The following is a 13,689-nucleotide window of genomic DNA, read 5'->3' as shown; positions in this document are numbered from 1 at the left end:
GACACAAACACAGAGTTAAATTTTAGATAAGTTGCATTGAATCCATAAATCAATGTGGACTGAATTTAAATCTGCAATTATTATTTCCCCAATATTTGAACATAAATATTTATATTTGAACATAAATATTTATATTTGAATATGACATAACTCTCCACTTACTGAGATCTCTTTGATTCTTTCCAATTAAGTTATAATTTTCTTCATAACATTGTTAGATTTATCCATATATATGGTATATTTGATGTTTTTGTAAATGGTATCTCCTTTAAAATCACATTTTACACATTTTTTTCTGTTGAATATATTTGCAGTCAGTTTTTGAATTGATTTTACATTCAGAGGTCTTCCTAAGCTATCTTATGAATTTTAATTTACTTACTGATTCTTTTGGATTTTCTACCAAGGTAATTATATGATTTTCATTAGTAAATACATTTTTTATCTCTATTTCTTATTTTTTTTTTTTTTTTTTTTTTGAGACGGAGTCTCGCTCTGTCTCCCAGGCGGGAGTGCAGTGGCGCAATCTCAGCTCACTGCAAGCTGCGCCTCCTGGGTTCACGCCATTCTCCTGCCTCAGCCTCCCGGGTAGCCGGGACTACAGGCGCCTGCCACCACGCCTGGCTAATTTTTTGTATTTTTAGTAGAGACGGGGTTTCACCGTGTAAGCCAGGATGGTGTCGATCTGCTGACCTCGTGATCCATCCGCCTCGGCCTCCCAAAGTGCTGGGATTACAGGCATGAGCCACCGCACCCGGCCTTGTATCTCTATTTCTAATCCCTCACTTTGTATTTCTTTTTCTTGCCTTAGTGCTCTAAGGTCTTCTATGCAATGCCAATTATAAATGATCATGAAGAGCATGCTTGCCATTTGTATTGACCTTAAAGAGCATACTATCAACATTTACTATGAAGTATGATGTAGGTTTCAGGCTTTCAAAAGGTGTACATCTTTTATGAAGGAAGTTGTCTTTATCAATAGTCTTGTGAGAGATTTTATATAAATACGTTTTTATTTTTATCAAACCTTTATCTTCATTTATTGAGAAGATCATATATTTTTTCTCTTGAACTCTTAACGTGGTGATCTTCCAATGTAAAGCAGCAATTATGTTTCTGTGATAAATTCATTTCGGCCACAAAGTAAATTCATTTTTTATACAATGCTTGCATCAGGCAGAATGGTTTGGGATCTAATGCTATAACAAACAACCTCTATGTTTTTGTAGTTTATAACAACAAAGGTTTATTTCTCAATAATGTTAAATGTCAATTGTGAGTCAGATGGAGTCTCTGCTCTATCTAGTTTTTGACAGGAACTCAGGCTGATGGCACCTTCACCGTTTGGGGAGTATATGGAAGTGGCAGGGGTCTGTTGCGGAGACAGAAATAACACGAGACCTTGCATTCTGGCTCTGAAAGCCTCTGATTTGAATTGGCACACAGCCCTTCTATTTACATTTTATTGGCCAAAACACTACATGGAAAAATCTAACCATAAGTATGTAGAAAAGTGAAATCCTACTATGTGCCCAGGAAAAGACAGTATAAGCATATTTGTGAGTAGATCTAAAAATCATTACAATGCTAGGTTTATTTTATTTTTTGTTTGGAATTTTTACACCTCTATTCCAGAGTGATTTATAGATATAATCTGATTTTTTATGTTGTCCTTGCCAGGTTGTAGTGTTAAGAATTTGCTAGCCCACCAAATTGTGTGGCATGTTACTCCCATTTTATCTAAGCTTCGAGATACATGTATGTGTATGATATTAGGACTATTTATATCTTGCATGTTTGGTAGAACATAATTTTAACATCACTTGGGTTTGGTGTTTCTTTCAGAGGATAATTCAGTTTCTTTAGAGGTAATAAAACTATACAGATTTTCTTTTTCTTTCTCATTCTGGATTTAAAGTTCTACTTTTTCTTCTGAAAGGTTGACCATTTTATGTTTTCAAGTATACTGACACAAAGTTACTCATACTATATTTAATATCTAGAATTATGGATCATTTATTTCCAATATTTTTAATTTATTCTGCATTTCTTTGATGAATTTTGCTACAGGAATTTCACATTTTACTTTTCAGAAAACAATCTTTGTCAATAGCAAAGATTTGTCAATGACTCTATTGGATTTTTTTGTTACATAGTTTCTTAATCTCTACTGTTTTGTTGTTATTTTCACCCTTCGCCATTTATTTAGCGAGTGGTGTTCTTTTTCTAATTTGTTTATTTGTGTATTGTATTAGGGTTCTTCAGAGGGACAAGACTAATAGGATATATGTATATATGAAAGGGAATTTAGTCTACATACACCTATTACATCATGCATACTATTTATATTGCTTGAAAACTTCAAATTTTAATGTTTTTGTTTTCTTTCTCTATCAATAACTGTGTGAGGGGCCTTAAAATATGCTGTTATAATAGTTTGTCAAGTTATACTACATTGTTCGGTCAGTTTTGACTCTACATGTTCTAAGCTATTACTAGGTACATGCAAGTTTAAACATTTTATCATTATATAGTGACCCTCTTTATCTTTCATAAGAATAATATTTATTTTGCCTTATATACTGTCTTTCTTTCGATTAATAATCTCCTGGTTTATCTTTTCTCTCTTTTTTTAAATCTTTTAAATTTTTTCCTCTTGTTTTTCTTCTTGTTTTTTACCTTTCCCTTCCTGTATTTTTTCTTCTTCTTATTCTCCTGCTCTTCTTCCCAGCCTCCTCCCCTCCTCCTTATTCTTCTTGTTTTCCCTCTTTCTCTCTCCCTCTCCTTCTGTCTCTGTTCTCTCTCTCTCTCTCTCCCTGTCTCTCTCTCTCTTGCTCTCAGTTGGGCAATCTTGATCTTTTAACTAGATCATAAAGACCATTTACATTTACTGTAATTTATATGAATGTACATACTCCATTTTAATTTCTGCTTACTTGCCCCAAATTTTGTTTCACATTTCCTCTCTCTTATTGCTTCTGTTTGGAATGGTTGATCATATTTTTATTTCCATTTTCCCCTACCTATTTATTAATAAATGTTATGACCTATTTGTATTAGCTTAAAGGCTCCCTTAATTATTTTAGCATGCAAAGATTATTTATCAAATTTAAATTGATATATTTCCCTTCAACCTAAATATTCCATAAATTGTTGTCTTTTTTTCTTTTTCTTTTTCTTTTTTTTTTTTTTTGAGACAGGGTCTTGCTCTGTCACCCAGGCTGGAGTGCAGTGGCAAGATCTCAGCTTTCTGCAGACTTGACCTCCTGGATTAAGGTGATCCTCCTACCTCAGCCTCCCAGGTAGCTGGGACTACAGGCACATACCAATACACCCAGCTAATTTTTGTATTTTTTTTTTGTAGAGACAAGGTTTTGTCTTGTTGCCCGGGTTGGTCTTGAAGTCCTAGACTCAAGCAATCGGCCCATCTTGGGCTCCCAAAGTGCTCAGACTTCAGGCATGAGCCACCATACCTGGCCTAGACTATCTTAATAAAAACAACTCCCTCGTTTTACCCTTTTTGTGTCTTTTATTATTTTTTCTATTTGTTTTTTAAGCTCAAGAAGAATTTATCACTATGATTTTATGCAACCAAAGTTTATTTAAATTTATCCACATATTATCATTTTCTTTGCTCCTAATATATTCCTGTTACTCAAAGCTAACATCTGGGATCACTTGCATTTTTTTTTGTGAATTTCATTTTTTAAAAGTTCATTCAAAGAGGATCTGTTGATAGTGAACTATTAATTTTGTATCAACAAATACCACTACCTTACCCACTCTCTTGAAAATCACTTTGATTAACATGCAGTCTCAGTAGACAGTTATTTTCTCTGAGCACATTAAAGACATTACCACAGTGTGTGGCTTTCATAATTGCTGTTGAGAAGTTAGCTGGAAGTTCATCAAACATTGAAGGTTCTCATTTTTGTCTTGGTGCTTTAATACATTTATGTCTTTTATGGTCTGCAGTTTTGTGTTCTAGATATTTATTTTGCTGGTTAGGATTCATTTAGCTTCATAAGTCTGGGAATTGGTATTAAAAATAATAAATTTTAGAAAATTCTAAACCGCTATGCTGCCAAATACTACCACAGCTCCCTTCTGTCTTGTTTATGAGACTTAATTAGGCATATATTAAAACTTTTTTATTCCCCATCATGATTTAACTTTTAAAACATTTTGCATCTCTTTGCTTCCCTTCGGACATATCTTCCAGCTCACAAAATTTCTGTCTTTATTTGTATTCAACTGTTAAATCCATCCAATGAGTTATATGTTATTTCTATAAGCTCTATTTTTTCTTACTCAAATATGCTTTTACATTTTTATAACCTTTAACTATTTTTTATAATTTGTCCCTTATTCACCTTCTTAGCACTCATTAGACATATTTCTTTTATACCTGATAAATATGTTTTCTGAAGTCTTTGTCTTATTGTGTTGTTGGCTTATTGTGTGTGTGTGTACTGGTGATTGGCTGATGACTGGGACATGCTTACTTGTGTTTTATGTGACACTGAGCATGTGGTCTTTGGAGGTACTAAATGTAGGGATATCTCCATCTATATTTCCCACTTAGGATGATCCCTAGACTTTGTCTTTTCCATACCCTCAGAGATCAAGAAAAACCAAGCTAAATTTACTTGGAACAGCAAATGTTCTCAAGACAAAACCAGGCTGAAGGTTACCTAACTCTCTCTTTCCCCTCTTTTACTTAATGTTTGGCTCTGAGTATTATTTATTAATTTTTTATCTATAATATTTTTCAAAAATAAATAAAGGCTGGATGCACTGGCTCATACCTATAATCCCAACACTCTGGGAGGCTGAGGCAGTAGGATTGCTTGAGTATGGGAGTTCCTGACTAGCTTGGGCAACATAGTGAGACCTCAACTCTACAAATAATAAAAAAATTACCTGGGTGTGGTGGTGCACACCTGTGGTCCCAGCTTTCCAGGAGGCTGAGGTGAGAGGATCACTTGAGCCTGGTGGTCAAGGTTGCAGTGAGCCATGATTGTGCCACTGCACACCAACCTGGGCAACAGAGAAAGACCTTTTCTCAAAAATAATATTAAAAATAAATAAATACAGTTATTGAAAATTGTAGTTGTTCTTGGCACAAGGGCCACTTGCAGTAATAGATGCTCAGTAAATATTTATTGAATGAATGAGTTTTCGCATCTTTCTGTGTACAGTTCATGGCTCATCAAAACTTTCAGGGAGAATAATAGAGAATATATCCTTTTCCCAGAAGGTATTTCTCTATATTTGTATCTCTTCTACAAAGCAGTAGAAAAAAGGAATTATGAAAAATGAAAAGCAACCCTCTTCCTCACTTTGCTTTTCTTAAAAGAAAATAAAGAAGAAAGATGAAAATAAGACAAAAAGAAAATGGGAAAACTGTGTAGAATGGTAAGAGAACAGCTTAGAGCTGTGAAGTACAGAGCTCTGTAGTTGGTGCTTACTCATTCATGAGTACCTTTTACTTTTCTCTTTCATGGCTGGAACTATTGCCAATTATTGTACAGATGTTCCTGCATATCTGCTGCCATGAGTAAATATAGTCTGACTCTTGAGAGTTTCTGAGCCTCACACTCTGATCTCATCCAGTGTGTCACTTTTCTAATGGGCTAAAAGAGGAATCCAGTGGTTTATTGAAAAGAACGTTAAATTGAATACTGGTTGCATTGTAGAGAAAAGCACTTCCTCTAGTTCTCCAGAATCCATTTCAAGGACCTGCCACTTGTCTTTGAGCTCTTTTTCCTCTACTCTTCTTTCACATTAGCTCTTTTAAGAGAAATATGTTTATCCCTATACCCCATGGCCTGGGTGGTCAGAATCAGTGAAATCATTCCATTTCTCAGAACCACACTAACAGAAAGGTGGCTATCGATAGCCGGATTCTTCCATAAGTCATAATGCTTTTAGATGTGCTTTATTATCTTCCAAGATGAAATATATGACATCCTGTAATGGGTCCTAAATATCAGGACCTTTAACTTTTCTCAAGGTGAGAACCATCTCCTTACTGCTTCCCTCGCTTCAGGCCTTCCTGCCACCCTCTCTAAAGGACTGTGGGGCTGCTAATGTATACTCCCAATAATCAGAACTCAACTAGTTTTTCATCCATGCATGTTTCCTGCAATGAAGGAATCTCTTATAAGAGCCACTCTCAGGCAGAAGTGGCACAAGAGAAATGCTGCCATTAACAAGCAGAGTGCAAGAGATGAGTTGATGGAATATTGCCTCCTTGCTTAATTGGAGCTCCTGACCAACCCTTTCTCCACATGAAGAAAGGAAGTGTTAAGTGAATGTCTAGAATATGAACCTGTCCACATGTCGAGTGGCATAGAAAGACCAAAGCATCTCAGTCATGTTTTTTGCTTAGAAAACTTTCTTCCTTATGCATTCCCATGTGCATGCACTGCAGCATAAATTCTCCTAGTCGAGGTTGCCCCACTTTGCAAAAAGGAGTTTTCTTGAGCTGCCAGTGTCGGCTGTCTATACAACGACTTACAGCACTGGACTTCCTCCTGACATCACACTTCAATCAAAAACTTTTTGCACAAAATGTCACTTTCAAAGTTGCGGTTTGGGGGAAAAAAGTGTCTATAAAAAATTCATGGCCACAATGATCTGATAATGCAGTGTTCTGATACCAGCAGATGTTTTGTCTAACATGTTCCCTGAAGCTGTACTCTGTGCCTTCATATCTTTCATTTCCAGTTGCTATCTGCTGACTGTGGGATGTCATGTACGTACCCTATAGCTATGCGCGGCAATTCGCATCTAACACCACCGCGCGTAATGAGCTTCACAAGATGCTTGTCGCAATAACTCCGTACTTCCCTAACCATATGGAACACAACACTCTAAAGCCCATAGACACTTTTTTTTATTACAGTTCAGATCCTTAAAACATAATCTGTGTGATGTCTAGTGAATGTACATGAAGAGCTGCTGAAAACAAAGTTAACACTTGTTCACATCATCTGTTACAAATGTCCAATTTGGGACAATAAATTTCCTCGGAACCTGTTCTTTTGCTGACTCGTTGCTTTATCTTTTTTCCTCTTTTCTCTCACGTCGTTTTTTTATGAACTATGCATATGTATTAAATGGGATTTGTTGTCCCTAGATACCAATTTGCATAAAGTACAAGCCATCATTGGTTGGAGAGAAGCAAATTACTTCTCCGGCAAGATCACACTTTTTTTTTTTTTTTTTTTTTTTTTTAATTTTAACAAACCGCAGGCAGAGGCTGTTAACAGTACTTAGCCAGATATGCAAAGTATCACTTTTCTCAAAAGCAGCTTGATCAATGAGGGGGAAAAAGGGAAAAAGTGAGAGGTGATATTATTCAATTAAGTCCCATGAAAAGCTGACCTGAAACAGAAATGCCCATACCTGTTTCGCCACCTGTCCACTTGTCGGTAAGCTGAACCTCTGCATTTCCCCTTCAGTGCAGGGCAGGTATTTATTCAAGCCTTTTGAGGAAAAAAAAATACTTGAGAGACTTAGCAAAGAAGTGAGACCAACTCAGCAGCTTTTAAAAATAACAAGAATCTCTCAGTTTCATTCTCTGCTTCTCGGAAAACTCACTGCACTTCATTTATTTTTTCAAGTTACCCTTGCCATTCTTTTCTTTTCTTCATAACATAATAATCAAGCAGCGTTCTGTTAACAGCTCTGCTTATAATTGCCGACTTAAAATGTCTTGTAAGCCGCAAGTAGGACCTGCACTCCCCACCTCTGCCTATCACGAAAAGTGGATTCCCCTGTGAGATGCAGTAAGGTGCGTGGGACATTGCAGATGGAGCCCCCTGCATTCAGGTCCATAGCAGTCCCCGGCTGTCTTCTTCCCATTGTTCTCATGCTGTACACCTGTGACAAGTTGGCAATTGCCTGGGTGATAATGCAGAAACTTGCAAATTCCAGTTTGTCCCTCTGCTAAGCAGAGCTGTGCTAGATTTTGCTAAATAAAGAAACAAACAGCTCTCTCAGCCAAGAATCTCAGACAACGTATTGAGGGGGTGGAAGCTGTGAACCTTAGAAACAGCTGGGAGTAAGTGACACTCTCCAACTTTGACAAACTTGCCATAGAAACTTCAAGAGACTGTGGTCTGACTTACATGTGCATTTTCAGTTAAGTTTAAGTTCCAGGGTCTTCGGTATGTGTTACAGAATAATGAATATTTTAATATCATTTTAAACCATTCTAACTAGACAACATGTAAATTTCTTATAAGGAGCAAATGTTTGTTCTAAGCATTGTAACTCTTAAACAAGAAATCATTAGTAAATTCTGTTCCTTCTTCTGGGAAGGGGTACTCAATCATTATTATTCACTTGTGAGGATCAAAGAGAGTTGAGTATATTATTTACCCCCTATTGTTTTGTCAGGAGGACAATTAGAAATATAAACAAATGACTGAGAAGCCAAGTTGCTTGGTGATGTCAAGGTTGACACCCATGCCCAGGATATCTTTAGGGAAGACACAAATGTGACCAATAATCTCTGTCTAGAAGTCAGAGACTCTGTGAGTGTGAATGTGTTTGATGTCCCCCTGCTCACCACTGTGTTCCTAGTGCCTAAAAAACTGGTACTTATGAGATGCTTAATATCTATTTGTTAAATGGATCAGTGAATGATGGAGTTCTGAATTTAGTGGTTACATGAAGGAAGTGAGCTCCACACAGGAAACTATTTATCTGTTAATGTCACTAGAGTCAAAGATTAATAAAATTTATTTCATGTAAGTTTTTTCCTCTAAGTTCTATCAGATTAATGAAACTTATTTCATGTAAGTGTTTTCCTCTATATTCTGTCAGATTAATGAACTTTGTTTCATGTAAGTTTTTTTCCCCCTAAATTCTATCAGAGGCACATTCTGAGTGCCTTCATTGTGAGAAGAAATAAACTAAGCATTGCTGATAGTGAGATAAATAGTCTGGGAGGTAGTAGGTTATTACGGAAGTGGTATGGATTTTGAAAGAGGAACAAGCAAAGCAATATCATTTACTAGCTTAGTGAACTTGGGCAAATTACTTACTCTCCCTGAGCTTTAGTTGCCTCTTCTGTAAAATGGGGGGAAATACTTGTAGCATAAGAATATTTTGTGATGATTGAATGAGATTAGGCAATGTCAAGTTCCTGGTACATGGTAAATGCTCACTGAGTGTTGGTCCTTTTGTTTCCCTGCTCCTTCAGAACTTACAGTCCCAATGAAAATCTCAACAAGATATTTTGAGGGTATCAACAAAGTTACTCTAAAATTTTTATGGAAAGGTAAAATATCAAAATAGCCAACATAATACTGAAGAAGAACACCGTTGAATGAGTAACAATACGCAACTTGAAACAATAAAAAATTGCAGTAATCAAGACAGGCTAAGATTAGCAAAATAATAGGCAAAATCAATGGAACAGGATAGAAAGCTCATACATAGACCAACACAAATATCTTTGATAAAGGAAAACTGGCAATTCAATGAAGAGATGATAGTCTTTTCAATAAATGTTGCTAGAACAATTTGATGCCCATATGCAAAAGAAAAAAATCTAGACACAGACCTCACACCTTTCATAAAAGTTAGCTCAAAATCAGTCATAAACCTTAATATAAGACACAATACTGTAAAATCTCTAGAAAAAAATGTAGGAGGTAATCTATGTGACTTTAGGTTTGGCAATGAGTTTTTAGGAACAACACCAAAAGCATAATCTATGAAAGAAAAAAAATGATAAATTGCACCTTTCGAATGTTTTGCTCTGAAAATTACATTTTTAAGAGAACAAAAAGACAAGTCACAATCTGGGAGAAAATATTTACAAAACAAATATTTGATAAGGCAGTTGTATTCACAATACACAAAGAACTCTTAACAATAAGAAAATAACCCCCCCAAAAAATGGGCAAAATATCTGAAGAGATATCTCACCGAGGAAGAGATACAGATGTCAAATAATCATATAAAAATGCTCAATATCATTTGTTATGAGGAAATTAGATGCTAAATTTTGTCAAATGATTTTTCTTTATCTATTTTAATTATCATTTTTGTCTGTTATTATGACGGATTATATTGGTTAGCTTTTGAATGTTGAACCAGTCTTTCATTAGTGAAATAGATCCTATTAAGTCATGATGTATTAATATTATTTCAGGTACTGCTGTATTTTTTGGCTAATATTTTGTTGAATATTTGTATGTCCATGTGTAAGAGGGATATTGGTTTTCAATTTCTTGTTTCTTGTATTACATTTATCTGGCTTTTTTATGACAAAATGACAAAATATTTCCTTTTCTATTTTCTGAAAAACAAATTGTATAAAGTTTACATATTTCTTAAAATTTTGGCAGACTTCATCAGTGAAGCAATTTGGTCCTAGACTTTTTTGCTGCAAAGTTTTAATTATGAATAATGTTCTTTAACTCATATAAAGCTATTCAAGTTATCTATTTCTTCTTGAATAAATTTTGTAGTTTCCATCTTTTTAACTAATTGGTCCATTTCATTTAAGTTGCCAAATGTATAGGCATACAAATGTTTTTATTATTTTCTTATTATTTCAGATTTCCTTCTATTTTATTTCTGAGGGTCTGAAATGAAATCCCCCTTTTATGCTTGATATTGAAAAAAAGTATATCCTCACTTTTTTCTTGGTCAGTCCGTCCAGATATTTTTGAATTCTATTGATCATTTCAAGGAACCAGATTTGGTTTCATTTATTTTCTCTATTTCTTTTTCTATTTCATTAATTTCAGTTATTTTTTATTGTTCCTTTTTTCTTGTGCTTTAATTTGTTTCTCTTTTTCTAGCTTCTTAAGTTGAAGACTTAGATCATTAGTTTGAGACCATTCTATATGTCTAGCATAAACATTTAATGCTATAAATTTTCCTCTAGGCACTATTTTAGCTTCATTCTGCAAATTTATCTCCATTCTCATCAATTTCATTCAGTTCAAAATATTTTATCGTCTACTTCAGACTTTTTCTTTAACCTGTGTCTATTTAGAAGTATGCCATTTAGTTTGCAAATATTTCGGTACTTTCCAGATATCTTTTTAGTTTTGATTTCTACTATGATCAAATAAGATATTTTGTATTATTTCTATTTTTTAAATGTGTTATAGTTTGCTATAAAAGCCATGATATAGCTCATCTAGGTTCTTGTTTAGGTGGATTTAATAAGAATATGCATTCAGCTGTTGCTAGATATAGCGTTCAATAAATGTCAATTACATCAAATTATTTGATAGTGTTGTTCAGATCTTATATATCCATGCTGGTCTCCTATCTACTTATTTGTTGATAATTCAAAGAAGAGTGCTAAAGTCTCCAAGTATATTTGTGAATTTGTCTATTTCTATTCCTTTAAGTCTTATTATTTATCTTTCTTTTGAGACTTTGTCATATTTTTCTGGTTATTTATTCTTCTAGTAATTTTTGGTTATATCCTGGATATTTTAAATATTACCTTGAGAGACTGGGTGCCATTAAAACCTTCTGTTGAATGTCAAATTTTTAATTTATCAAGCCATCAACCCAGTTAGGTTAAGACTAAAGAATTATTTCTTGCCTTCTGTGTGTGGTATTTCCAATGTCAGCTATGATTTCGAAGTCTTTATTATATTGCTTTGACTTTTTTGCACATGTATCTCTCAGAGGTAATTCTGGGACTTGGGTGGTGGTTTATATTACAGTTCAATTCCCAAAGCCTTTACTATGCTGGTTCATATTAATGCCTATTACTCACATACACAGCTTAGGGGTTAGCCCAGGACTTGTGTCAGTTCATATATAAAGTGGGGGTCATCTCCAGCTTTCTTCTTTCTGAGATTTCTCTTAATACTCTCTAGCTATCAGGGAGCTCTTTTCTCCTTAGAGGTTTTACTGCCTCATGTTCAGGTCAAAGTATTTATCTCTATTATGGTCTTTCTTCAAGTTTGGCTGTCTCTCTAGTTTGTCTGCTATTGCTAACTTCTCAGAGTTTGCAGATGGTTGCCTTTTAAATATTGTCCAGTTTTTAGTTGAAATCAGTGGGAGTGATAGGTATAATGGGCTTACTCTATTTTGGCCAGAATCATGAAGTGTAAACCTGGGTTTTAATAAATTACAGTAATATATTGTACTTATCAAATAGTTAATGACAATCTGAGCATTTTTTTGTGACATGATTTGCTTAAAAATATGTATATAATGTGTATCAAGAAGTTTGTCTCCAACTTGATGTCTCTGTATGCTGACATTTAATACTGTCTTAATGAAAGACTAGAGATGACTGCCACCTAGCAGGATGAATGAATGTATTTTTTATTATAAGTAGACCTTGATAATTAAAAGTAATCTACAAATAAATTAATAAAAATATTTACATCACAGAAAACATTCTATTCCTTTAAGTATTAAGTTAATTTTGTTTTTTTAAAAAAGAAACCTAAAGTAGACTTTGACCTTCTCAGACACATATATGTTACGTAAAATACATTTTATTTCAATTAAAAGATGTTTTCATTTTAATTGTCAATCATATCCTGGTAAACCTACACAATTATTGATCTTAATTGTGGAAGGCTTGAGATATTGATGATGCTGGATAATTTGTTTGTTTGCTTGCTGGCTTTGTAAGTGGTACCACAATGAAGCGGCACAATGTGCTTCTCTGACTTTGGAAGGTCACCACAGTTCTAGAATCTGTTGTTCAGCCTTATAAGTTTTAAAGGTTTACATTATCAACACAGAAAGAATGAATCCATCTCTTGGGGACAGGGTTGCATCAACCAAGCTCACAGTCTGATAAAGAAACCAGAGTGATCGGTTTTCAATGAGAATAATAGCTGTCACAAAAATCAGCGTATTTCTAGTGGCTTGAATGACTCATCCTTTTCCTAGAGGCAGATCTAAAAAGGAACCACCACAACGAGAAGATGTGCAGTTATGCAGATGTGCAGGATATCATAACTAGGGGAGTATATTAACTTGAATATTTAGTAGTAGTATAGTACTATACACTCAGACAAATTCTTGCCCCCTTACCTAATAACTATGAGATCTTGGGCACATCATTTTAACAACGTTGAGAGGGTGGTTTCCTGTTGTCCTTGAATTATTTAGAGATTAAAAAGTGAGGAGTCCAGTATCTCACACTCTTAATCAAACAGTACAAATAATTGTGAGGAACAAATCCTACCAGGCTATAGTGAATTAACAGTGTGCCCTCCATGTGAGCAATCAGCTGCTAGCCATTTCCCTTCAAATATGAAACAAAAAAAGTGAGAAATTAAAAAAAAATTCTCTCTTCACTGTGCCCAACAACAAAGGAGACAGAACTTAGAAGAATGAAGAGTGGAAGACATAAAAAAGGAGGAAACCCCAACCACCCCTCAACCCCGCCCCACAAATGTACACAAATAAACATGCAGATATAACCCATCATTAAACTCATACAGTTTGGTTTATGGTAGAGAGGGGGAGATTTCTGAATCTGGTATGAAACTATTATTTCAGCCTGAACTGGGCAATTTTAATAAGTAAAATTAACCAGCAAGGTTTAGAATCTTATTGATATATCATAAAAATACTTGCTACCTTTCAGAATTATGTTTGGGAAAATAAAACCAGTTCATGTTCATGCCTCCACAGAATAGAGAATTCTTAATAAACGGCTACAACTTTCTA

General features: G+C 34.7%; 1 long non-coding RNA gene across 6 annotated transcripts in view, besides 1 other annotated feature; it reads left to right on the top strand.

The window, feature by feature from the left end:
• LOC105374754 (uncharacterized) overlaps nucleotides 1-13,689 on the top strand; it is a 150,795-nt gene that overhangs the window by 68,283 nt on the left and 68,823 nt on the right. The window lies entirely within an intron of this gene.
• Nucleotides 6,424-7,721: an enhancer, noted in NCBI's record as "VISTA enhancer hs836". NCBI's record gives its function as "enhancer in: facial mesenchyme[5/12]" and the evidence as "EXISTENCE:transgenic organism evidence [ECO:0001131][PMID:17130149]".

The sequence above is a fragment of the Homo sapiens genome, chromosome 2, assembly GCF_000001405.40.
Source record: "Homo sapiens chromosome 2, GRCh38.p14 Primary Assembly".
Taxonomy (NCBI): Eukaryota; Metazoa; Chordata; class Mammalia; order Primates; family Hominidae; genus Homo; species Homo sapiens.
The sequence above is the reverse complement of the archived record's forward strand: the minus strand, read 5'-3'. Positions and strand labels throughout refer to the sequence as shown.